General features: G+C 53.7%; 1 protein-coding gene and 1 pseudogene across 2 annotated transcripts in view, besides 3 other annotated features; both read right to left on the bottom strand.

Annotated features, from left to right (window-relative positions):
• The window catches only part of SH3TC1 (SH3 domain and tetratricopeptide repeats 1), a 59032-nt gene extending 51340 nt beyond the window's left edge, over nt 1–7692 (bottom strand). For both annotated transcript variants that reach the window (XM_011513488.1, NM_001410712.1), the window contains exon 1: nt 7554–7692. The gene's annotated coding sequence lies outside the window, so the exon portion shown is untranslated. The remainder of the gene's footprint in view (nt 1–7553) is intronic.
• Nucleotides 1419–1945: an enhancer, noted in NCBI's record as "H3K4me1 hESC enhancer chr4:8189546-8190072 (GRCh37/hg19 assembly coordinates)". NCBI's record gives its function as "activates a minimal SCP1, AML or CMV promoter by ChIP-STARR-seq in primed H9 embryonic stem cells {active_cell/tissue: H9 hESC(primed)}" and the evidence as "EXISTENCE:reporter gene assay evidence [ECO:0000049][PMID:30033119]".
• Nucleotides 12893–13738: an enhancer, noted in NCBI's record as "H3K4me1 hESC enhancer chr4:8177753-8178598 (GRCh37/hg19 assembly coordinates)". NCBI's record gives its function as "activates a minimal SCP1, AML or CMV promoter by ChIP-STARR-seq in naive H9 embryonic stem cells {active_cell/tissue: H9 hESC(naive)}" and the evidence as "EXISTENCE:reporter gene assay evidence [ECO:0000049][PMID:30033119]".
• GMPSP1 (guanine monophosphate synthase pseudogene 1) lies at nt 14744–15343 on the bottom strand (annotated as a pseudogene).
• Nucleotides 15221–15720: an enhancer, noted in NCBI's record as "H3K4me1 hESC enhancer chr4:8175771-8176270 (GRCh37/hg19 assembly coordinates)". NCBI's record gives its function as "activates a minimal SCP1, AML or CMV promoter by ChIP-STARR-seq in naive H9 embryonic stem cells {active_cell/tissue: H9 hESC(naive)}" and the evidence as "EXISTENCE:reporter gene assay evidence [ECO:0000049][PMID:30033119]".

The raw sequence follows: 25808 nt of genomic DNA, 5'->3' as shown, positions 1-25808 counted from the left end.
ATGAGGGCCTGTGCCAGTGCCACCGTCTGCCTCTCTGATGGCCAGTAGCCAGCCCAGACACCACCCAGCCAGAACTGGACACCTACTGCCCCCCGCCGGCCCTGAATCTTAGCAGATGGCACCACAGGGCACTTGGCGCATGACCCCTCTCTTTCCCCACCTGGTTACATCCAAGCCATCCTTGCCAGCCTCACCCTGCTCTCCCCTCTCCCACCCCTGGCGGGGCCCTGGCCACCCTGTGCTGTCCCACACCCCCAATGCCTGCCCTGGCTTCTGCACACCACTCCTTCCTGGCACCCCTTCTCCTCCAGGCTGTGACGGCGGTGTGTTGCCTCCTCAAAGAGGCCTACCCCGGCCGCCGGCCCGGCCAGCCCTTGCCCTGCGCCCTGGAAAGACTCAGCATGCTCCGCCCCTCCTGGGACTGGGGCCATCATCTGTCACCACCACTTGCTTCCTAGGCAGGTCCCCTGCACTGCGGGCTCCTCCAGCGAGGAGACTGGCGGGCCTTGCTCTCTGTGGGCCACGTGCCCAGCACAGCACCACACTCTGCAAGCGTTTGCTGAATGACTAACAAACCAAGTGCCAGTGACAGGGGGCCGGGCTGCCCAAGCCAGGTGGGAGCCAACAGCCCCATGTATTCCGAGCCGGGTTCACCTCTGCCAGACACGCAGAAGGGGGCAGAGCCCAGTCAAGTGCACTTCTGCTGAGGCAAAGCTGTGTGGGCAGCTGGGTGGGAGGGAACCACCGGCTTGCAGCAGGCACGGACTTGCCCTAGGTGAGGTTTGAGCTCTCCCGCCTCATGTGTCGAGCCACGTGTGCCTGTGAGCAGTGCCCGGCAGGATCTGGCTACAGCACTGGCTGCACCTCCCCCTGGGACACCGGAGAGACAGGGAGGAGGTGGCTGCCTCGTGACGGGTACCCAGTGCAGGCTCCAGGCAGCAGCCCCTTGTTGGGCCAACATCCACAGCTGCTACCTCACATGCCTGCTAACCCGCTGGGGTGTCTCCCAGGTGGCGTCACAGGGGCGTGGCCCACCACTTTGGTGTCCAGCCAGGTGTGGGTCCCGGGGTCTCCCCTCACTTGCTTGCTGCAGGATGGATATATCCCTCACCCCTTCTACCCTGGCATAGCCCTCCCCTGCTCACCAAGGGTAGCGTAGCGGTCCAGGTACCACAGAGGGGGGACCGGGAAACTCCCCCACTGGCCCACATAGCTCATGCTGGGGTGCAACCCAATGATGGAGAGCAGATTCTGAAGCCTAGGTTTGAAGCACCTTGGGGAGCTGCTTTACGGCCCTGCCCAGGCCCAACACCTGCCAGCGTAGGGGAGGGGTCCCACAAAGGAGAGCAGTCGTCGTCATTATTATTCAGTGGGGCAGGGTCAGCAGGCGGTGTTGCCCAGATCCAACCTGCCTGCCCGATGCTGGGCCTGGCTCAGCATCCGACATGGATGAGTCAGATGCCTACTGCCCTCTAGAGAGCCCAGACTCGGCCTCATGGTGGAGACAGCCATGGAGCCAGATGGGACAGCTCGGCCAGAGCAGCCATTGCAGAGGGGTTGGGAAAGGGGAGCACTGCACAGCCCCAGTCCTGCCCGTAGAGAGCTGGGGAGGCTGCCTGGAGGAGGGGCTCTGCGCCAGCCTCCACACGTGAAATATTTGTGAAATACATTCCCTGGCAGGAAATAAACACAGTGGGCGTGGAGTGTCTTGTCGCATCAGGAAGTAACGAAGTGTGATCCATCAACCGACCAATAGTTAAATGGATCAATAGATCCCCGAAATGATGGAACTGTGACAAAGGGAGACAGGAATCAACTGAAAGAGCTCCCAGTGGCCAAAACTGGGACAAAGTGAGCAACAAAACACAGGTAAAGCAGTGGTAATGTCAATCCCATGTAGAAAACAAATATGTAGGCCGGATGCGGTGGCTCACGCCTGTAATCCCAGCACTTTGGGAGGCGGAGACAAGTGGATCACAAGGTCAGGAGTTCAAGAGCAGCCTGGCCAATATGGTGAAACCCCGTCTCTACTAAAAATACAAAAATTAGATGGGCGCGGTGGCACGTGCCTGTAATCCCAGCTACTCGGGCAGCTGCCACAGAAGAATTGCTTGAACCCAGAAGGCGGAAGTTGCAGTGAGCTGAGATCACGCCACTGCACTCCAGCCTGGTGATAGAGCAAGACTCCATCTCCAAAAAAAAAAAAAAAGAAAAGAAAAGAAAACAAATATGTATGAGTCCACACCAGTACAAATAAGTCATGGGATAGCTGGGTAAATGGGGGAGAAGAGACAGACAGACCCCCCCGGGCAAAAGAATTCCAACTAACTTAGGCTGGTGGGCGGAGCATGACCCCCACTCCTTTATTGTGGGATGCGCATGGTGGCGTCCTTCCACAGAGGATAGTGTGGAAATGGGGAAACCCAACCAACACCCTTCAGCCAGGTGACCAGGGTCAACAGCATCAATGACAAAGCCTGTTGATAGCAGGTGTCCTTGCTAAGATGGGAGCAGGAGTGCACTTTGCTGTCGTGGTCTTCCTCCCCCAAACCCATATCCCCTGTCTAATATGAGAAACACGTCAGACAAATCCAACTGATAGTGTGGAACAGGAGTGGCGTTGGGTGGCAGAGGGTACGAGTGAGGATATTAACTGTGCCTGGCAGTCAGGGAAGGCTTCCTGGAGGCAGTGACATTTGAGCAGGGCTTTGAAGGATGGCAGGTGTCAGAGAGGGCAAGGGAAGTCGGGCAGGAGTCCCAGAATGGGCAAAGGCACAGCAATGTGCCTACAGGAGCATGTCCTTTTTTTTTTTTTTTTTTGAGACGTAGTCTTGCCCTGTCACCCAGGCTGGAGTGCAGTGGTATGATCTCGGCTCACTGCAACCTCCACCTTCTGGGTTCAAGCGATTCTCCCACCTCAGCCTCCCGAGTAGCTGGGATTACAGGTGCCCGCCACCACGCCCAGCTAATTTTTGTATTTTTAGTAGAGATGGGGTTTCACCATGTTGGCCGGGCTGGTCTTGAACTTTTGACCTCAAGTGATCTACCCACCTCCATCTCCCAAAGTGCTGGGATTACAGGCGTGAGCCACCGCACCCAGCCTCAAGGGGCTTTTTAAAAGTGTTTTTTTAACCTAAACTTTATTTTAAAGTTTTAGATAGATAAGTTGGGAAGCCAGTGCAGGGCATTGGCATAAACTCCCATCAGCCTCCCCCGTGATGACCATCTCACACCTGCGTAACCTGTCACATTCAGTAAACCAACGTGGACCTGCTATTTTTACTCACAATTCACACTCGACTCGACTTCCTTAGTTTCCCCTAACATCCGTCTTCTGCTCCACGCAGAAGCCCATGGGGGACACCACGTCTGGTTTCATCACCTCGTCTTTTGGGGTGCCTTTTGGCCGGGAAGGTTTTTCAGATGTCCCTGTTTTCCTGACCTTGACAGTTCTGGGGAGAACTGGCAGGTATCTTTGTGATTGTGCTTGCACTGGGGTTTGTCTGATGTTCCTCACTCCCATTACTTTTAATGTGCAACAAGCAAATTTTGCTGCTGGTCTTGGTTCGGAGTCAGGCTGGCCCCAGCCCCTCCGCCAGCAGCTGCTGTTAATTAAACCCCGCTTGAGAAGCTGACCTCCACTTCAAGCACCAGAGGAAAAAATCGACAACTCCACAGTAAAACAGCGAGGGGCCCGCGCGGACAGCTCCTGCCTATCACCGTAAAATGTAGGAAATGTTGCTCAATGTCCCCCTGTCAGGGAGTGCAAAAAGACCCCAAGGGGACCCTGTGGCACCTCCTGGAGTGGCAGCACTGGGCATCCAGGAGCAGACCCTGGGCAGGCTGCAGAGAGCATGGTGCCAGTGGGGCCCATCTGAGGGCAAATGACCAACGCTCATAAAACCACGACTGTGCTGACCCTTTGCCCAGCAACCCCACTCCTGGGAGTTCACCCTGCAGATGACTGTCGACTTCTGAAACAGCAGGGTACGTGGTTGTCCATACAGCTTATTTCTAACAGCAATGCCTTGGAGGTAACCTGGGTGTCCGATAAACCACACTGCAGCCACACAACAGGTAGCCAGCAGCTGTGATACAGAAGCAAGGCTTTCTCTGAGTGCCAACAAGGAAAGATCCCTGAGACGTATTAAGCAGAAAAAAGCAAGCTTCAGAGTGTCTGCTCCATTTTCTGTCTGAAAGTGGGGTTAGGATGCGTTCGCATCTGTTTGCACTTGTGAAAAGAAACCGCAGGAGGATGAATGCATTGGCAACAGTGGGGAGCTGAGTCGGTGAGCCACAGGGGAGTTCTCGGTGCTGAAACTATTCTGGATGATGCTGTGATGACAGATACATGACTCCATTTCCCAAAAGACATTGAACTTTACAGCACAGGGAGCCTTAATGTGTGCGCTTTTTTTGTTTTTTTTGAGACGGAGTTTCGCTCTTGTTGCCCAGGCTGTAGTGTAACTGCTCAATCTCGGCTCCCCACAACCTCCGCATCCCGGGTTCAAGTGATTCTCCTGCTTCAGCCTCCTGAGTAGCTGCGACTACAGGCACCCGCAAACACTCCTGGCTAATTTTTGTATTTTTAGTAGAGATGGGGTTTGATCATGTTGGTCAGACTGGTGTCGAACTCCTGACCTCAAGTGATCCACCCGCCTCAGCCTCCCAAAGTGCTAGGATTACAGGTGTGAGCCACCGCACCCTATGTACGCAAATCATATTTTAAAGAAAAAAAAAAAAAAGAACAAACCTAGGCAGACAGGGGACTCCCAGGATGAATGTGAAATGTGACAAAACAATTAACTGTATCACAAATGTATACGACAATCTCATGAGATTGACAAAACAATTAACTGTATCACAAATGTATACGACAATCTCATGAGATTGACAAAAGAATTAACTGTATCACAAATGTATACGACAATCTCGTGAGATTGACAAAACAATTAATAACTGTATCACAAATGTATACGACAATCTCACTGAAGTGAGAGGAAGAAAGTTCCACTAAGTCTGTGAAACTGAAGGCAAAAGGAGCCCCACAGATGCATTCCACTCTGGCTGATAAAGTTGCTTTCCAGCCGGCCACAGTGGCTCATACCTGTAATCCCAGTACTTTGGGAGGCTGAGGCGGGAGGATCACGTGAGCCCAGGGGTTCGAGACCAGCCTGAGCAACATGATGAGACCCTGTCTCTAGAAAAAATAAAAAATTAGCTGGGTGTGGTGGCATGTGCCTGTAGTCCCAGCTACTCAGGAGACTAAGCCAGGAGGATTATTTGAGCCAGGGAGGTCGAGGCTGCAGTGAGCCATGCTCACACCACTGCACTCCAGCCGGGGCACAGAGCAACAGCCTGTCTCAAAAAATTAATGAATAAAGTTGCCTCCCACAGGGGTATGGGTCAGCCATTCTGATACTTCCGTACATGTAGACTGGAACAGAACTGTTAAGTCAATGGATGGCTAATGGTGAAAGCCAGGTGTCTCAATGTTGGAGTGGGCGGTTACAGATTGCTGGTGGGGCAGAGCTGGAATCCACTTAGTAATAATGGATTTGAGTTGGAGACGTCAGTATGAACTCACATTTAACCTAATAGAGATACAGATATTGCATCTAGGCATACTTAGAGACATGCATATATACATGGTTGGTGTACACATATATGCCTTCATGCTCTGTCAGCTGAGAGGGCCTAAAAGAAAAGACACACGGCCAGGCGCAGTGGCTCATGCCTGTAATACAGCACTTTGGGAGGCTGAGGTGGGCGGATCATGAGGTCAGGAGTTCGAGACCAGCCTGGCCAACATGGTGAAACCCCGTATCTACTAAAAATACAAAAATTAGTTGGGCATGGTGGTGAATGCCCACCACCATGGACTTGCATAGGAGGACTAAATACAAAGTGGGGTCCTGGGTGGGATCCCGGGGCAGGCGAAGGCGTTAGGTAAAGACGAAGGAAATCTGAGTCAGGTGTGGGCTGCAGCTGGTAATCAGGCATTGGTGGTATTGGCTCATTAGTTATGACAAATGTACCATACCAAGGTGAGATGCTAATCATAGAGGCCGCTGGGTGGGGTTTTACGAGAACTCTCTGAACTGTCTTCCTGACTGTTTTGTAAATCTAAGAGGATTCCAAAGAATTCAGTCTATTAAAAGAAAAACAAACAAAAAGTCCCTGTAGGGTGGAACAAGTTTGATGAACTTTTAAGGCCCAAAGACACCCAAGCGTCACTGCGGGATCCCAGCCAAGCCTGGAGCCGCCTGCTTGGGTGGGGCTGCTTGCCATGGGCCTCAGGCCAGCCCGGGAGCCTCCCTGGGCCACGCCTCCCTCTACTGTACAGGGAGTGAGTTAATCACAGAGATGCGTGGGGCAGGGCCGGTTTCTGGTCATTGTTCCCACAGCACCAGGAAACCGAGGCAGGGCTTTGGAAGGGCATCCTAGCCCCAGGCGTGACCTGCCGTGGTCCTCAGCCAGTCCTGCCACCTTGAGCGCCGGCCTTCCTCTGTAAACGAGGGGGAGGATGAGGACGGGCTCCTTCGTAGTGAACAGAACTCGCCTGGGGCTGCTGCTGCCACAGAGGGCTCCAGACCATTCTATAGCCCCAGCGGGAGAGGGAGGCAAGGTCGCCAGGCGGATGGCATGCTGAGAAACTGAGGCTCACAGAGGCCCCACCCCTTGCCAGGGGCCATGGATCCCCCTCACCCCCAGGGCAGCCTCTCCTCTGCCCTCCTCTGGGTCAGGCCCCTGCGCCTCCCCACTGCCCCAACAGCCTCTGCGTCCAGTCCCTGCCTCCTTCAAAACCCACTCCCAAGTCCAGCCCTGAGAGAAGGCGGTCTCATCCCCAGTGGCAGGTGGGAACCCTGGCCCCATGAGGGGGACTGAGGCTTCGGAGATGCAGAGAGCCACTGGAACCCCTCTGAGACCCCTGGCACTGGTGTAGCAGGAGGGCAGGGGCAGCATGAAAGACACAGGGTGCAGGGGAAGACTGACTCTGGGCCCGCCCAGGGCTCCTGCGTCCTCCAGGGTCACCAGCATTGCACTGTTTCCATCAACTATGGCTGCTGGCCACATGCGGACACTGCCCTGGGCACCAACACCAATGCCTCATCTTACAGATGGGGAAACTGAGGCACGGAGGGTGGAATCACTCAGTGGCAAGCTGGGATCAGAACCCCTGGCCACAGCCTCTTGGCACCTCACCTTTCCACCAGGCACCCTGCCCGCCCAGTCGTCGGGATCCTGGGGAGACAGCACTCCCACCTCATCCTGCCACCCTGACAGCATCCAGCTCCACCCATCAGGCTATTGGCCCATTTCTCATACATGGGAACACCAGGCTGGCCCTTCGCCTGAAACCCCATTCGAGGCAGCACCCGCCCTGCTGCTTCTGGCCAGGTGAGTTTCGAGTTTTGGGTGCACCCTCCCCATGAAAACCCTCTCCGGCCTCACCTGTCTCGACAGGTGACACTGAGCATGGGGCTGAGGGCTTTAGCCTCGGCAGGGAGGGCTTTCCAAGCGCAGACCCAGCAAAATGCTCTGGAACTTACCCTGCCAGGGAAGGGAAGAGGGGAGGCTGGATCCCGGGCCCACCACCTGCTGCAGGGCCACAGCTGTTGCTATCACAGTTCCTCAGGACAGCCACACAGCCCAGCACCCTGTCCAGGCAAGAAGGTGCACATTTTTAGTGAGCCTGGCCTCTGGGCTCCAATCAGATGACCTGGGCGGCCGGCCTGGGTCATTGGCTGTGCTGCTGTGGCCTGCCTGCCCCACCCCACCCTGGGAAGGGCTTTCTCCTCCCTGACCTTCCTCCTCCTTATCAGCTGTCAGAACTGTTAGCTCTCCTGGGCCAGAATTCCCAAGCAGGGTGGGGAGGAGCCACCGCAGGGAGCTTGGCTGAGGCGCTCCTGGGCCGGTCCAGTCTGCCCAGGGCTTTGGGGGTTTCAGACCACCTCCCTGTTCCCTGCTCAGAGAGGAGAGAGGCTGGGCCCTAGGAACAGATTCCAGGCCCTGCTCTGCTGGGATGAGGAGAACCAGTCTCACCCAAGCCGGTTTCTGCAGCTGGGCCGTCACGGCAGCTAGCTGGGAGTCCAGTAAACATTTACTGAGCACCTATTTTGTGCCATAGGGCCCAGTGCAAGGCCAGCAAAGATGGGCAGGACCTCTCATGTGGTGCCCAGAGGGACTGGTCCCCAAACTCGCTCAAGATAGAGTCACCTGGGATGTCCTTAAAGATTCAGATTCTTGACTCGGGACCCCCTGTATCAGGATCTCCCAGAGTGGGGCCCAGAAATCTGGATTTTTAACAAGCTCCTAAGCGATGCTTGTCATCAGGTGACTCTGGGAACCTCTGTTCCAAACAGCACTCTTACCTTCAGATGCTCACCAGGGGCCTTGACAGACACAGGCACCCTGAACCCCCAGGAGCTGGGCACCGCCTTTGTGACTGGCTGTGTGACACAGGGCAAGTTTCTTAACCTCTCTGTGCCTCCCTTTCCTGGTGTTTGTGCTGGAAGAACAATAGGTAGTTGGCCTACTTCATCGGGTATTTATGAGGAATAAACGAGTTAATCAACATTCAGGGCTTAAAACAATGACCTACACACAGAGACACACACACACAGACACACATGTGCGCACATGCATACACATACATGCACGCACACACATATGCACACATACACACACGTGTGCACATACATATACCCATATACACATACACACAGGTGCACTCACACACACACGTATACACATACACACAGAGACATATGTACACACAGAGACACATGCACACATGCATACACATACAAGCACACACATACACATAAACACAAGTGCACTCACACACATATATACACATACACATGTGCACACAGACACATGGACACACAGATACATGTGCACATATACATACACATACATGCATGCACACACATATACACATACACACATGTGCACATACCTACACACATACACATACATGCGGGTGCATTCACATATATACACACACATGCACACATGCATACACATACATGCACACAGATACACATATATACACATATGCACATACACATGTGTGCACATACATACACACATGCACATATACACAGGTGCACTCACATATGTACACATATATACACTCTCACACACACAGAGACATATGTACATTCATGCACACACACACACACCCCTGATGTGTATTTTTATCGGGCACCCAGGTGATCCTGACCCAGCCCTGTCAGGTGACTTACGCTGTGACTCAGTGGGGACGGGGAAAGTGCTGGACTTGGGGCCTGAGCTGGTCCTCGGGGCTGGGCAGGAACTTCCCAAGCATTTCTTGTTATCTATGTGAATGAATGAATGAGGTGTGAATTGTTTGACATTTTTCTTTGCTTTTAATTAGGAAAACACCAAATTTACCTCTATAATGCCCTGCTCGTTGCAATCTGGTAACAATAGTCACTGGGTCTCTGCCCTGTCCCTCCCACTAGAGGCTTCCTTCCCCCACATTCACTGGGCACTGCTCCAGGACCAGGGATTTCGGACAGGCCCCACCTTGGGAGCTCACATTGCCCGAGCATCACCCTTGTCAGTGGCCCTCAGTGCGCTGGGGTGAGATTTAAAGACTTCCCAGTGTGTTTCCAGCAATAAAGCTGGTGGAGATTCCCCCGAAAGCCAGACATCCTGCTGTTCTTGAAAACCCAGGAAGCCTGGCCACATGGGGCGACACTTTCAGCCTGCCCACAGCAGGCGCTAAGAGTCCGCTGTTCATGGGGTGAGCTCTCTGACCCCACAGCCACACGGAGGTCCCTGCTGACTGACACCCTGCCGGAGCTGAGCTGTGACTGAGCCTCCAGCGGCTCCATCCTCAGGAACCTGGCCAGAGCCCTGGAATTCCTGGAGGGCCGCAAGCTCCTGGTGGCCACAGGTGTGTGCCCTGGCCACTAGACCAGGGAGGCCAGGCCCTGGGGCTGAGAAGAGATTAGTCCCAGGCCACTCTCTACCATGGACCCTCTGCAGGTCAGGAGCCTGGCGGGGACCAGGGGCTTCTCTGGGTGCTTCTCTTTGTGCCTCTGACTTGGGTGTCACCCCCGCCCCCCACCCCTTAGTGAGGTCTGTGCAGCCTTCCCCATTTCCAAGGGCAGAGACCGGGTCTGCGCAGCCCAGCAGCTTGGACACATTCTTACTCTGGAAGCCCCAAGCTGGGTCTGCACCCAGGCACCTCCCATGGCTAAAGTTGCAGAGACTTGGAGCTCTTCTGTGCTAGAGGTTCTGACCTCTGCTCTCCCCAGCCCGTCAGGTCCCCTCCCGGGGCTGAGCTGTGTCAAGAGGCTGCATTTAAAATCCCAGCCTCAGTCTCCCCATCTGCATCTGGAAGGGCTTAGCTGGGCATGCTCTGTGCACCTTCCAGCGAGGGCATGGGGCTGAGTTACCGAGCAGGCACCTCCCCACCTGCCAGACTGTGGGGAGGCATTTTCCTTCTCCACCGACACCCCCACAGCTCCGGCAGGCTGAGGGAGGCCGGGATTGTGTGAGAGCTGGAGCAAGACACCTCTGCTCCCTTCTCATTGTCAAGAACTCCCTAACGACAGGAGCGTCCACACTGTGGCAGCCTCCCTGCCGCCTCCTTTTATTCTAAGATGGTGGACTCAGAATTCACATGAGAAGGGGCTTCACTGATGTGTACAAGATGTGTGTGAGGCCAGGCACGGTGGCTCACGCCTGTAATCCCAGCACTTTGGGAGGCTGAGGGAAGAGGATTGCTTGAGCCCAAGAGTTTGAGACCAGCCTGAGCAATGTAGTGAGACCTTGTCTCTACGAAAAATTAGCCGGGCATGGTGGCACACACCTGCAGTCCCAGCTAGTTGGGAGACTGAGGTGGGAGGCTCCCTTAAGTCCAGGAGGTAGAGGCTGCAGTGGGCTATGATGGTGCCACTGCACTCCAGCCTGGGCAACAGAGTGGGACCCTGTCTCTAAAACAAACAAACAAACAAAAATATGCATAATTCCTTGTGCCTTGGGAACTGGCACTATGGAGCCAGAATTCATTTAAGAACACATGGCTGGACGCGGTGGCTCACGCCTGTAATCCCAGCACTTTGGGAGGCCAAGATGGACAGATCATAAGGTCAAGAGATCCAGACAATCCTGGCCAACATGGTGAAACCCCGTCTCTACTAAAAATACAAAAATTAGCTGGGTGTGGTGGTATGCACCTGTAGTCCCAGCTACTTGGGAGGCTGAGGCAGGAGAATCGCTTGAACCCGGGAGGCGGAGGTTGCAGTGAGCTGAGATTGCACCACTGCACTCCAGCCTGGGCGACAGAGTGATACTCTGTCTAAAACAAACAAACAAAAAAAAAAAGAGAGAGAGAGAGAAACACGACTTACCTATGTATTGTCTTACTCTATAAGACTTTTCTAGAAATAAATAAAGCCAATTCACCTTCTTTTGGTCAGTCTTGATCCTAAAAGTGCCGGCCAGGCCACCCTGCTACCCTAAAAGGGATGGAGATTTGACAGGGTCCCCGTGAGGCGAGTCTCCCACAGCTAGGAGGGGTTCGCAGGGCGAGTGAGGGAGTGAAGGGTGAAAGGTGGCCTTGAAGGGCAGGCATGGCCCCCTGCGTGGAGGCCGCCCACGATAGGCTGGAAGATCCCACATAACGATGGACACTGCTGGACCCAGACCCCAAGCAGCAGAAGCAGAGGCCCCGCAGCAGCCAGTGGCTGGTTCCGTTGTTTCTCTCTGGGATAAGCAGTATACCCTGAGGCCAGAGCAAGACACAGAGAGAGGCAAAGGAAAGGTGGGTGCTCTGGCAGAGCAGGGACAGTTGGACCCCCTGAGTGGGGGAATCCCAGCTTCACAAATGAACGGCTGAGGCCAGTGGGGTGGGTAACACTGAGGCCACACAGGACCTGAACTGCGCCCTTCTGACCTGGCAACAGGAGCTGGACCTCACCCCTCCCCGGGACCCACCCTCCCCAAAGCCAGCTTGGTCCCTGACACCAGGGGTCTGCCCAGCCCAGCAGGGAGTCAGGAGCCACTGAGAGTGACTGGCAATGTTCCAGTAGAACAGTGACTGCGTGGGAGACAGTCTCAATGTATTCCCCCAGGCAGGCGAGATCTCAAAACATCGTGCTTCTAAAAATGCTCTTAAGAAGAAAAAAGTTGGACAGAAGAATGTGGAAACATTTGCTGTGGTCATCAGAGTGACAGGTTGGAGTGAATAAATGTTCATTATCCTCTTTCTGTATTTTTCATGTGCATTACTTTTAAAATCAGAAGATGATTATTTTTGCAATCAGAAGAAATGTCATTAGTGTGATAATAAAAGCCATTTGTTGGTGCAAGTGTATGGAGGATGGTGTTTCTGAGAAAGTTTATAGACAAAAGAGGTGTCCCTCTTCAGGGGCCCAGAGTCCCTGGCCCAGCCCAAGGACAGCACACCTTGCACAGGGGGCTCCTAGGGCCTCAGTCTTCAGCAGCCCCTGACACGGGGGCCCCGACTCCTCCCACAAGTTTGCAGTCCTTTAGGCTCCCCCGACAAGTTTGCAATACCTGTCTGTGGTGTGTCTCTCCACAAGTGCCCATTGTGAACAAGCGTGTGATGGGTCCTGGGAGCCGGGGGCAGCTCTCCCTGGTAGCTTTGAGCAAGTCCCTCCTCGTGTGTAGACAGAGCACCAACCTCTACAGCTCCCCTGACATTTACAGGCCCAGTTAGTGTCAGCCTGGAGAGGACGGCCCTGACCCGCCGCTGTCCTCTAGCGGAAAATCAGAAGAACAACAGCAGCACCCAGGATTGAGCTCTGGTCTTGGACAGGCGCTAGGCTGAGACCCTCCTGTGCTTCCCCTCAGTGGGAGCACCCTGAGTGCACGTTCCTAAACCAACCCCTTCCATGGATGGGAGAGGGGCATGGCTTGCCCAGGAAGTGGTGGGCTGGGCTTCATCTGGCTCTCTCCAGTTGTGAGATCCCCAGCCCTTAGGCATACAGTAGTACTGCACTGAACGGCAGAGAACGTGCATGGATCTCTGCAGTGGAGGGACAGTGTCCCGTGCATGTATCCTGCATGTGCTGACTCAGCTACCGCTCCACTGGGCTGCCCCATCTGATCACCAGTGTAGCCTGTGAGGTGGGAGCTTCTGGCTTCACTCTTTAGAGTGACGAGCTGAGAGATGATGCAGGGGTGGGGAGCTCCCAACATCTCCTGCTGGGGAGTGGGATGAACGTGGGGACGGCCCAGGCACTCTGGCCCCTCAGCCTGGACTCCACCATCATACTTGCCTCCCTGGGGGTGTCTTCGGCCATGCCTGTGGCACCATGCTTGTGATGACCAGGTCACGAGTTGATTGTATCAAGGTGAGGCCCTGCACTGGGGCTCAGGTGTCTCTGCCACTGGACACAGGAAGCTGTTTGATGGAGCAAGAACAGGGGCTTTCGGCCAGAAGACCTGGTTTGCATCCCACCTCCACCAAACCCCCAGTGTGTGACCCTGGGCAGCTGCCCCACCTGAGCCTCGGAGACATCTATGAAGTCAGGACGGGATTACAGAAAGGCCTGGCCTGGCTGGGATTTGTGGATGGATGTCTGAGGAGTGTGCTGTGGGTGCCCACGGTGGCAGCTGCCAGCAAAGACAGAAGACAGTGGGTTCCATGCCCTGGGAAGCCCCAGGAGCTGCATCCACCTGGAGCCCGTCTCCGCACAGGCTGATGAATTCACCTGGCCCTGATCCTTCCAGCTGTATTTTCTGGAGTGAGACCCTTAACCTCTCTAAGACTCAGTTTGTTCATCTCACAAATGAGGCTCATGCATGAGCAGGTTCAGAGGTGGATCCTCCCCCAGTGAACTTTCAGATGAGACCACAGACCCTGCCAGCGCTGACTGCAACCTCATGAGTGGCCTTCAGCCAGAGGCACCTGATTCCTGACCCACAGAAACTGCAAAAATAAATGCTGTTTTAAGCCACTAAAAATACAGGATTCAACCTCTCTTCCTCCCCAGCCCACACGGAAGCACCGTTTGTGATTAAACGAAGGAAGGCAAGGTGAGGTTCATGATTCCAGCTGTGACTGTGCTGTGTGCCAAGCAGACTTACGGTCTGTGCTTCTACTCTGCCATTTGCTGGCTACTGGGGAGGGCATGGCCTCGTGTGCCTTGGTTTTCTCACCTGTGAAATGCAGGTAGCAGCCTCCGGCTCTGTTGGGAGGAGATCACGCAGGTGAAGTGCCAAGGACACTCAGTCACTTGAGGGTTGCTCTGGCGTCAGGCCTTTGTCGTGTAGCTGTCGGTGCATTAGCGTCCACTCCCTTCCCCTATGGCCCCCGGAAAGGCAGTGTCTCTTCTGGATAAGAAAACACAGGAAGGTCCCAGGTCTGTTTGTACCTTGAGAGAGCAAATAATAAACAGAGCCTGACTTTCTGAAAAGACAAGGATGACAGTGATCTGATAAAATGCTCTGGCAGTCCCCCTTGGTCCGTCCAATTCACTAAAGACACTGGGATTAGAATGTACTTCACCTTGGTGTTCCTGGCTCTACCAAAAGCTGGCTGTGTGACCTTGGGCAGAGCACTCAACCTCTCTGAGCCTGGGTGTCCCCAGCTGTGAAGTGGGTCAGGGTGGACCGGATGACACAAACTTGTGGTGGCCCTGTGCCGCTGTCTCCTCTCCTGCCCACCTCTGACTCCTGGAGTCCTCAGTTTTCCTAGTCTGCCTTTTCTTTTCTTTCTGTTTTTTTTTTTTTTTTTAATAGAACAAGAAGTTTATTACTCCCACTCAGTAGTTCCTGGGGGCTTTGATGTTAAGTCATACATAATTCGAGAAATACCAGGAATCTTCTTAATCTCAGTGACCATCTTTAATACCACCTCTACAGGGATCTCATTGCCAGGTGTTGCAGGTATACCAGTCAGGGAGTCACTAGTAATAAAGGTTCGAATAACCACAGATCTCTGGCATGAAGGCTGCTTTTGAAGTGGGTCCCTATCAAAATGTAATGGTGTCAAAATCACCGGCATCTGGCTGATTTTCCCAGCATACCCAGACTCCCTGAGAATGTTATGGGCCTCAAAATCAGCTTGGCGTAAAGTACTGAGCACCCCTGTTGTCAAGAAAGTGGGAGTAACATCTGTAGGAGGTTCTTTAACTGGTGGGCCAAATATACAAATAACTCTGTTAACGTTGTGACACATGCGAGGCATAAGCCTAGCCAGAAAAATAAGTGATTCCTAGTCAGGTTCATCTTTACTGGAGATGCCACACACGTAACTGTAGGAACGACAGTCACCCTGCACACTTACAGTTTTAATTGGCAGCAAGAAGCCATTGAGTGAATGCAGCCTAGTCTGCCTTTTCACCCAAGTTCCAGACTTTACCAAATCAATCCATCGATCGATCTAAAACCTCCAGCTCCTGGCCTGAAGATGCTTATTGCACATCTCCCTGAAGTCCCTTCTCCTATGCCATTCTGCCCCTCGCTAGCCCTGCAAGGCCAGTGCCAGCTCCCTTTTATGGAGGAGGAGCAGCGAGGGCTCAGGAAACACCTGGGTCTCACAGTTGGTCAGGGTGTGGGACGGTCCAGTCGGCCCAGTCCAGGTCTCTTGCACTCCAGAGGGCCACCAGGAAACCCAGCCCGGGGGAGGCCACAGCCAGGAGGGGGCCCCAGAGACCCTGAGAAAGGCGGGAGAGAGGGGAGGCAGGGCATGGCTAAGCCTTGGGCTGTGATGGCCACTCTTCATCGCCTCTGGCCCTGCCCCCAGAGTCCCTTCTGCCAGGCTGGCTGGCGCCTCTGCTCCTGGCCTCCAGCCCCGAGGGGCAGGTGTGGCCACCTTGGCCATGGGCAGCAGCAGGTACCTTCAGTTCCCCCTGGGGGTTAATAAGCTATGGGGAGTGATTTCCCAGGAGGAAGGGCACAAGTGGGCAGGCACTGACCCTGGTGTAGTGGACGAACATTCCAGAATCCAGACTCACCCTGGCAGAACAACTTCAACCTACTGTGTGACTTCACAGTGCACTGCGGGCCTGGTCTTCAGTCCTGGCACTGCCACCTCCGGTTCCATGACCCTGGGAACTCCCCTCTGCTGAGTCAGCCTCGGTTTCCTCATCTGTGCAAGGGCGATGGTGGTGCAGGCTCAGTGAGGGCTTCTAGGTAGCATAAGGGAATGCTGTGTGCCCAGCATAGGAGGGTGCTTATCTAGTGGTGGTGTTGTTTCAGTACTATTATTTTTTAAACTTTTATATACAGTAACAGTTACCTTGTTTGGGTTCTCACCATTCTGAGTTTTATCCTGTGCATCCATTCATTTACTCACCCACCCCTGCAAAAATAAAAGGTAATTTCATCACTTCTTAAAAACAGGTCTTTTTTTTTTTTTTTTTTTTGAGATGGAGTCTTGCTCAGTTGCCCAGGCTGGAGTGCAGTGGCATGCTCTCAGCTCACTGCAAGCTCCACCTCCCAGGTTCACGCTATTCTCTTGCTGCAGCCTCCCAGGTAGCTGGGACTACAGGCGCCCGCCACCACGCCTGGCTAATTTTTTTGTGTTTTTAGTAGAGACAGGGTTTCAGCACATTAGCCAGGATGGTCTCGATCTCCTGACCTTGTGATCCACCAGCCTGAGCCACCGCGCCGGCCTTTTTTTTTTTTTGAGACAGAGTCTTGCTGTCACCCAGGCTGGAGTGCAGTGGTGCGATCTCGGCTCACTGCAAGCTCTGCCTCCCAGGTTCACGCCATCCTCCTGCCTCAGCCTCCCGAGTAGCTGGGACTACAGGCGCCCGCCACCACGACTGGCTAATTTTTTTGTATTTTTAATAGAGACTGCGTTTCACCGTGTTAGCCAGGATGGTCTTGATCTCCTGACCTCGTGATCCCCCCACCTCAGCCTCCCAAAGTGCCGGGATTACAGGTGTGAACCACCGCGCCCGGCCTAAAAACAGGTCTCTGTGAATTCAGTGTCTTTCCCAGCGGGCGGCGGAGCTGGCTAAACGGCTCAGACGTCTGGTCCTTGTGCCATCTGGTTTGTGTGCACTGGGGTTCTCGTGTCTGTTCAGCTTTGATTCCTCTGTGGCGAGGTCAGGAGTGCCCCGTGGGTACACTGCTTGGGACCCTCATTAGGGTCAGACCTTGAAGCATACTTAGCTTGGGGGTGAGCTGGGAGTTCTCAGCTGCCTGCCTGCGTGGCCTCCCAGCACTGGAGGACAGTTAACACATCAGGGGAGCAGGGAGGTGCAGGACTCCCAGGAAACTGAGCTGTCAGAGTCAGAGAGCTGGGGGAGCCCCTCTTCGCGCCATCTGCATGTGTGGGCGGGGCCGGCTTCATGAGCACCTGCTCATGCACATCGCCCCACGAAACCGTCACCGCCAGCCTGCGGGTTGCGTGTGAACATGCCCACTGCAAAGACGAGAAGAGTGAGGCCGGAGAGGGAGTGGCAGTGGGACAATGGCGACGCTGGTCCTGCGGGTCCTGGGCGTTTCTGCTCAGAAACCTACATGGGGACCTCTCCCTGACGAAAGTTCAGAGCCCACTGGTGTCTGCGTCTTCTCTCCTCCCACTTCCCTTTCCTTCTGTGCAAGAAAGCAGATAGTTGGCTATTTGGAGAGTAGGTCAGATAACTCAGCATCAGCAAGAACCCCTGCATGCCGTCCCACGGCTCCCTCACAGCAGCTGGGATGAGCTCAGAATCCTCAGGGCAGGAGGCTAATGTGAGCGAAACATCTCTTGATTTTTTCCTTCCCTTCAGCCTTTCTCTTCAAGGACTCCCTGAGAACACGGAGTCCCAATGCCCTCAGGCATCCATCCTCAGAATGAAGCCACCATCCCGCCCCTGGTATCCAGAAGGGTCCGGTCCCAAATGTTCCTGGGAGAACTGTGAACAGAAGGTCCTATGAGACAGAATCCCAGGCTGGAGGGGTGGCAGGGCTGATCTTCCACATCCAGCAACTCTGTTTTCCCTCCCTTCCACCCCAGTCTCTTCCCCTGTCATTTCCCGGCGTCTCCCTGTTTCTTCCTCTCTGGGTCTCTCTCCTTCCCTCCCTCTCTCTCTCCGGTTGTGTATGTGTGGGTGCCTGTGGTCTCTGTCGGTCTCTCCCTCTCTCTCCTGGGTCAAGTCTGCAATTGCTGTTATTCAGACACCTCAGGCACAAAGACTTAGCCACTTTCATTTGCTGAGAGCCCAAGGAGCCCAGTGTCTGCGCCTGGCATTCGAGGCTCCTGGGTACCTGCCCGCCAGCCTGGGTTCCTGCTCCCTGCTCCTTCCCTGCCTCAAGCTGGTTCCCCCACCCACACCCCTCTCTGGAAAGCAGAGCTGGAGACCCAGTTCCAGAAGAGGAAGTTAATTTCTAAAGGGCCCAGGGCAACAGGAGTGGGGCTGGGGAGAGGGAGCCAGGAGGGAGGCGGCCCATACGGGGGCATTGTCCATGGACTTCTCCCCTGCGGGCACCTGGGGCTGGATGGCTGGGATCGTCAGAGGAACCAAGCAGAACATGGCTTAGATTTGTCCACTTGCAGGCCGGGCGTGGTGGCTCACGCCTGTAATCCCAGCATTTTGGGAGGCCGAGGTGGGTGGATCACCTGACATCAGGAGTTCGAGATCAGCCTGGCCAACATGGCAAAACCCAGTCTCTACTAAAAATATAAAAATTAGCTGGGCGTGGTGGTGGGTGCCTGTAGTCCCAGCTATTTGGGAGGCTGAGGCAGGAGAATCGCTTTAACCTGGGAGGCGGAGGTTGTGGTGAGTTGAGATCTCGCCACTGCACTCCAGCCTGAGCGACAGAGTGAGATGCTGTCTCAAAAAAAAAAAAAAATTGTCCACTTGCAGCTTGGAAGAGGGGGCCGTGCATTCATAGGCTCCCATGCCCCATGGGTCACTGTGCCTGTGGCTGCCAGTTCCCTCTCAAGACTGGGCTGGCATGCCAGGAAGCCCCAAGACCATCCCATGTCAGATGTCAGTGAAGCCAGGGGCAGAATCAGAGAGAGACGTCTGCAAGTGGCCAAGGCAGCAGTGCAGTCACATTCTAATTCTGCCCCACTGTTTTCCCCTACCTGGCCAGGGCTATGGGAAGGCCGCCCCTCAGGTGCCCCCACAGTCCACCCCCATGTGGCTCCCCCACTACTGCCTCAGAAAGGCCAGCCCACCATGGGGCCACCAGCTGCCCACCATCTCTGCAGACTCCTCCAGGAGGGTTAGCCAGACAAGTCCCGGCCCCGTGGCTGCGGGTGATCCCGGGGCTATGGTGGACGCCACCATCTCCTCCACCAGCCACTCCCGCCGTGCACCCTGGACAGCCTGTCAGTCAGGCTTGGTGACCCACACCCTCAGCTCTAAGGTATCCGAGCCCTGAGTCCTTTGTGTCTGCCGGTCAGTAGTGTTGCAATTGCCTATTTACCATTATCGCTGGGCATGGAAGAACCTAGAAATGCCCCAGTGAAGCTTCCGGGCTGAGGCTCTCATGGTGAAGGCGCACCCCCAGCTCTCGTGGTAATAAGGGTCATTTGCAGTCTTCTGCCCCCTCCCTCCCAGTAGAAGAACTCTTCATTGCGTTCCCATCCATTGGGATGAGTAGTCCATTAATAGTCAGTTTCAGGTTCAACGGGTTCAACAGATTCAACAGAGACTTTATTCCTTCCCTTGGCAGAAACATCGCCACCCTCCTACCCTGAACCCAGACCTCTGATGCAACAGAGCTCAAGACTGAAGCACAAAGCTTACAAGGAGGTCCCTGCAAAGGACAGAGCTTCTGCCCTTTGCTTCCAGGCCCTGTGCACTGCCTGTTGGCTTGGTGCACGTGCTGAGTCCTGGGAAATAGGACCCAGCCCTCAGCACACAGCTCAGAAGGCTGAGCCTTGGGTGGGTCATTCTAGCACCCGGCAGCTGTCCTGAGATGGGGTGTGTGGAAGGACAAGTGAGCCCCATGGTCAGGAGCTCATTATCTCACTATCTTTGCTGCAAAATGGGACATTTGGTATGAGCCCCCTCCCCAGGAGGCTGCATAGACAATACTATCAATTTTCATTAGTAAATAAGTCCTGATCATGGCCTGCAAGACTTTTTGCCAGCCTGCATTGTGTGAGGAATGGGGGGCCTTGGGAACATTCGGTACTGGACATATTTCTCCTCCATCTTTCAGCGAGGCGGATGCTAAGGAGGCTCCCTCACACAAGGCGGAGATACCTTTCTTCCTGAGTCTTGCCTGAAGTAGAGTTGAGAGGTGTCATCTTTCCTTCCACCTCTGAAGAGGGGTCAGGGAAGCCAGAGGCTCTCAGGAATCCCCCGAGCACAAACCGCCAGACCAGGGAGCAGGTGAGGGGTGAGGGCCCCCTGCAGTGTTCTAAACCAAAAGCAAACCAAATGCCATGGTATTTTGAGGGAGACCATGCCAAGGACACTTAAGCCCACTGGCATTCATTTCAGTGACATCACAAACACTGATGACTTGGGGCTTCGTGGAGTGTTATAAATAATAAAGTACTCAAGTCCACGTGGCTCAAATGAAAAAGTCTTCCTTGGCTCATGGACTGGGAAGTCCATAGGTAGGTGGGCCTCAGGACTGGCTTGATCCAGGGGCTCTGAGACCACTTCTTTACAATTGGGTTCACTCTCAGGCTCACTTCCCACATGGAGACAAAATTGCCCAAGCTGTCCCTGGCATACATCCCACACTGCAATATGCAGAGCAGGAGAGAGGGCAGCTTCCAAACTCTCTCCTGAAGGTCAGGAGATGCCCTTTCCAGCCTTTCTTAGCAAGCCACCTACCACACCCCATTGAGCCGAATTGGGTCATATGCCTTTCCTGGAGCAAATCTTTGTGTCCAGGGATGTTGACTAATGTAGCCTGTCTGTCTCCAGAGATGGGGTCATCCTTAGACTCATTAAAACCTTCTGAGCTGGATGTGGAGTCCAGCTCACTTACTCTCACTTACTGAGAAGTCCATGGACTGCATGGGTAGGTGTTGTGGCTCCTGCACAAAAAACTGCGGTGCTACAAGAAAGCAGGGAGCAGGGGAAATGGGAGTGAAGTAAACAACCCACCCAAAAACAGAGACTACAGCGTGTCTGACTGGCTGCCTCACCTTCTCCACACTCATATGCTTAATGCGATCACAGTTATAAGCCTGCACAGCCTCTGGACCCAAGACCTCAGAAATCAGGAAGGGAGGGTGGTTAAAGATCTTACATGAAACTACCCCTTCCCGTCTGTCTCTTTGTGTTGGCCAAAGGCAGATGTTTGGGTGATCTTTGATGAGGGCAGTGTCTGCCCACTTTTCACAGTCTGGGTGTCACTGGTGGGATGGAGGGGACTTCTGATCCTTGATAGTATGCCTGCAATTAGGGTACTCTGCCATCAGGGGGCAGCAAAATCAAAAAAAAAAAGCTCATTTGCCTTGGCATCCTGAGAAATGTAGATGATCACATATTTTCTCCATGAAATTATAGGTAACTTTTATGTTAAAAATACCACTTCATTATACAACTAGGTTCCTTTTAGATGGTTGCTCATCACCTACTGTATGCACAGTAAGTCCCCTGGTCTCTGCATCCAGTGACAAAAAGGGACAGGAAGGAAGGGATGGTTAGGAGAAGGAGTGCTCTGAGATGCACGCTGTGTTGGCTGTGGGCTGTGGGGGAAGCCAGACTGGCCTCACCCCACAGGACCTAGAGAGGCAGGTTCTTCAAGTCTCAGAGTTGGGAAGCATGCTTCTTCTCAGCAATTCTTCTAATCCTGTGGACACAGAGAATTATGTAACTGACCCTGTTCCTCTCTCTGCTGGGGCTGCTGGGCAGTACAGAGAGGAAGGAGGGGCTGCCCTGGGCTGTGTCACCACCCACGGCAGAGATTCCAGGGCTTGACCTCAGCCCCAACTTCCTCCTAATCTATGTAGTTTTCCTTAACTCTAGTTTTCTTACCAGCTTTTAAAAAGATCTTTCTATAGTAAGGCTTCCTTTGTAAGAAGCCCCATATACTCTTTAGAACAAGATAGGATAAAAGCATTCAATTTTTAATGTTCCAGGTACTGCAATCAAAAAGTCAAGTAAAACACGCAGGCCTTCCTGGATTTTCTCGACCCATCCTTTACCTGTCCCATTACCTTGGCCCTTTTAAATCTCAGCTTTCCTCAGAGAAGCTCATAGTACTCAAAGCTCACTGTTTAGTTAGGGACACAGACAAGGAAACAATCAATGACAATCCCAAGTGACCAGCCTGTAAAAGAGGAAGTCCCAGGACTCATGGAAACCGGGGGTTTGCACAATTTAGCCAGGGGCCAGGGAGGACTTCTAGGAGGAGACGATGCCTGGGCTGATCCTTAAAGAGTGAAGAGAATTTGGCCAGGCAGAGGAGGAGAGGGAGGCCCCTGGCAGGCAGGGGTGTGATGGAGTGGAATTAGCTTTCATTTAGCAAATCCCTCTGGCTGCAGGAGAAGGAATGGGGGTGGGGGGAGTAGGAGCAAAGAGAGCAGGAGAAGGTGCCTGCACTTGTGTCTAACTACGCTGTGGAAGGACTTGGAGGCAGGACCTGGGGTTGGACTAATGTGATGGAGCAGGAAGAGAAGTCTCCCAGAGGGGTTCTCAGGAGTCAGGGAGAGCAATAGGGTGGCAGCAGGTGCCGTTTCTGGAGCTGGGAGGAGCTTAGGACAGGCTGAGCTCAGCCAGGGGCCTTCAAGTCATGGTGCCAGGGAGCCCAGGGAATTATAGATTTGGAAAGTATATCAGTCTGGCTTCTCCAGAGAAATAGTACTGATAGAAACAGATGGATGGTGGGTGGATGGTGGATGGGTGGCAGATGGATGGATGGGTGGATGGGTGGTGGAAGGATGGATAGGTGAATGGATGGTGAATGGGTGGGTGGATGGATGGATGGTAGGTGGATGGATGGGTAGATGGATGGGTAGATGAGTGGTGGATAAACGGGTGGACGAGTGGTGGATGTATAGGTGGATGGACAGATGGATGGAGGGATGAGTGGATCAGTGGTGGATAGATGGGTGAATGGGTGGGAGATGGATGGCCGTATGTGTGAGTGGATGAACAGATAGGTAGACGGATGGATGGGTGGATGGGTGGTAGATGGATGGGTGGATGGACAGACTGACGGATGAATGGGTGGATGGGTGGTGAATGGATGGGTGGATGAGTGGTGGATGGGTAGGTAGATAGATGGATGCATGGATGGGTGAATGGGTGATAGATAGATGGCTGAATGGATACATGGGTGGATGAGTGGTGGATGGATGGCTGTACGGGTGAGTGGATGAATGGATGGGTAAATGGACGGATGGGTGGATGGGTGGTGGATGGTGGGTGAATGGATGGATGGATGGTTGGGTGATGGATGGCTGGATGGGTGAGTGCATGAACAGATAGGTAAATGGATGGATAGGTGGATGGGTGGTGGATGGATGGGTGGATGGATGGTTGGGTGACTGGATGAATGGATAGATGGATGGGTGGATGGGTGGGTAGATAGATGGGTAGATATATGAATGTATGGGTGAAGGGTGGTAGATGGATGGATGGTGGGTGGATGGATGGATGGGAGTGGATGGATGAACGGATGAATGAATGAGTGTGTAGGTAGGTAAGCAGACAGGTACAAAGGGCAACTGATAGATAAACAGGGTTCTATTTTAAGGAATGTTCTCATGGTATTGTGGGGGCTGACAAGTTCAAAATCTGCAGGGCAGGCAGGCAACTCAGGCAGGAGTCGGTGCTATAGTCTTGAGGCAGATCTTCTCCACTGGAAACTGTTTTTGCTCTTAATGCCTTCAACAGATTGGATGAGGGTGATCTCCTTTACTTAAAGTCATTTTATTATTATCAAACCACTAGTGTTATCATCAAACCATGCAATTCCTGCTCCAAGCAGCTTGGCCATAGCCAAAGAAGAAATTCTAGTGGAGACTGCTCTGCTCTGGTCATCTCAGGGAGCCGGGTCCAGCCCCTCCCAGCTGACTGCACATTTCTTAGCCTTGGTGAGCCTACAGTGTCTCGTCTGTCAGACTGAGTAACACTCAGCACCATGACCTCAAGGGAACACCCGATTGGGAGGCCCACAGAACAAGCACTTTGTAAGTTATGCAGGCAAGGGCTCCTGATTAAGCTTCTTCGAAACCTTATCCCTTCCATGCCCACACAGCAGCTCTGGGAAGCACAGCCTGGTGACAAAGTTGCTAAGAAGGGACACGATGTCTTGCTTGATCAGCAGCTGGGGGGCAAGCTTGAGCTTGCCGGTGAGGCCAACAAGGCCAGGCCCAGGCTTCTGGCAGGACCCATCTGCCTTCCCAGGACAAGAGCTGCTCTCACTGTCAGGGATGGCTGCCTTCTGGGTTCCCTGCAGGGCTGTATGCCTGTGTGGTTGTCAACCAAGGGTCAGGTGGCTGGGAGAGCACTGTGGCTTCTGGCCTCCTGGGGACCTGGCTGCATGTGACTTTGTCTCTCTGGGCTTCCATTTCTTCTCCCCAACTGGGAGCCCTCAGACCTGCAGTTTTCCTCCCAGGTCCCACAGACCACAGATCTGGAAGACCATGCCCCTTGTGGGGTCCAATAATGGTGGTCCCCTCTGGTGGGGTGCACTGTACCTTCCAGAAAGATATGTTGAAGTCCTAACCCCAAGATTTAGCCCCCAGGAATATGATCTTATTTGGAAATCAGGTCTTCAAAGACATGACTGGTTAAGATGAAGTCAGACAGTATTGGATTAAGGTGGGCCCTCCATCCTAGGACCAGTGTCCTTATGAGAACAGAAGGGGAACATTCACAGAAGAATGCTGTGTGACAGCAGAGGCAGAATGAAGAGATCGGCCTCCGGCACTGGGAGAGATGCCCTACCCTTTTACAAGCCCCTTCAGCAAAGCCTGCGGTCCTCTGTTCCGCAGCGCGGCTGACTCATGCACCTGCCTGCTCTAGCTGAGCTTCTTCATCTCACTTCCAGCACAGAGGCTGACATGCAGTAGGTGCTGAATAGAGGCGGCACCTCATCTCAGACCTTGCCCCTTGCTCTGCTCTTCCATTCTCGTTCCTTCCCAGGTGTTCCTGACGGTCCTCGTCTGTTTCTGCTGAACAGGAATGAAGTTTAATGGGAGGAAGTGCTTTCAGAAGACCAGCCACATCCAAGCCTTGCACGGTGTGGGTCATATTCCCAAATCAGGCCTATACATTCTACTTCCTTCCATCACTTGTAATGAACCATCTTTTGTGAGTTTTCTGTGATGGCAAAGCATTGCCAAGTCTACAAACCACTCAGAGTTAACTGGGCAGCTGGAACTGTGGCATAGATCCGGTGTTAGGGAGAACAGATACCTGTGTAACCCAGGGCTGCGCTTCCCCTCCTGACCCACCCGGAGGCATCAGGCAAGCCATGGGCATGCGAGGGTGAGGCTGGGCCTGACTTAGCGAGAATCCAGGTGTGTGGACCCGTGCTTGAGAGATAGGCTCCAAGCCATGAGTCACATGCTATTTTTACTCCTGGTTTCGTATGGCGTGGTTTTAAATTATTGAGCGGCTGGAAAGATCCCACAATGAAATCATATTTCATTTGTTTCTCCATTTGGCTGTGAAGTCAATCAATTCCTGGACTGTATTTAGAGATGAAGAAAGGACAAGGAATCCTGCCGCTTTGGTGAGAGAAAGCCTGGAGGCTCCCTTACTGAGCAGAGCCCCTGATGGGCTCAGGACGCCGTCTGCTCTGTCTGCTGCCCTGCGTCTCTGACTTGCAACGTTTCCGTACCGCTGGGTTTCCAGAGCAGGCACCTTCTTTCTAGCTCAGGCCCCAGGTGAGCGCAGCCACACGGTGCTGCTCTCCATAGAAGCAATTTGTGG

The sequence above is a fragment of the Homo sapiens genome, chromosome 4 (genome assembly GCF_000001405.40).
Source record: "Homo sapiens chromosome 4, GRCh38.p14 Primary Assembly".
Taxonomy (NCBI): domain Eukaryota; kingdom Metazoa; phylum Chordata; class Mammalia; order Primates; family Hominidae; genus Homo; species Homo sapiens.
Note: the sequence above shows the minus strand (reverse complement) of the source record. Positions and strands in the feature narration are given on the sequence as shown.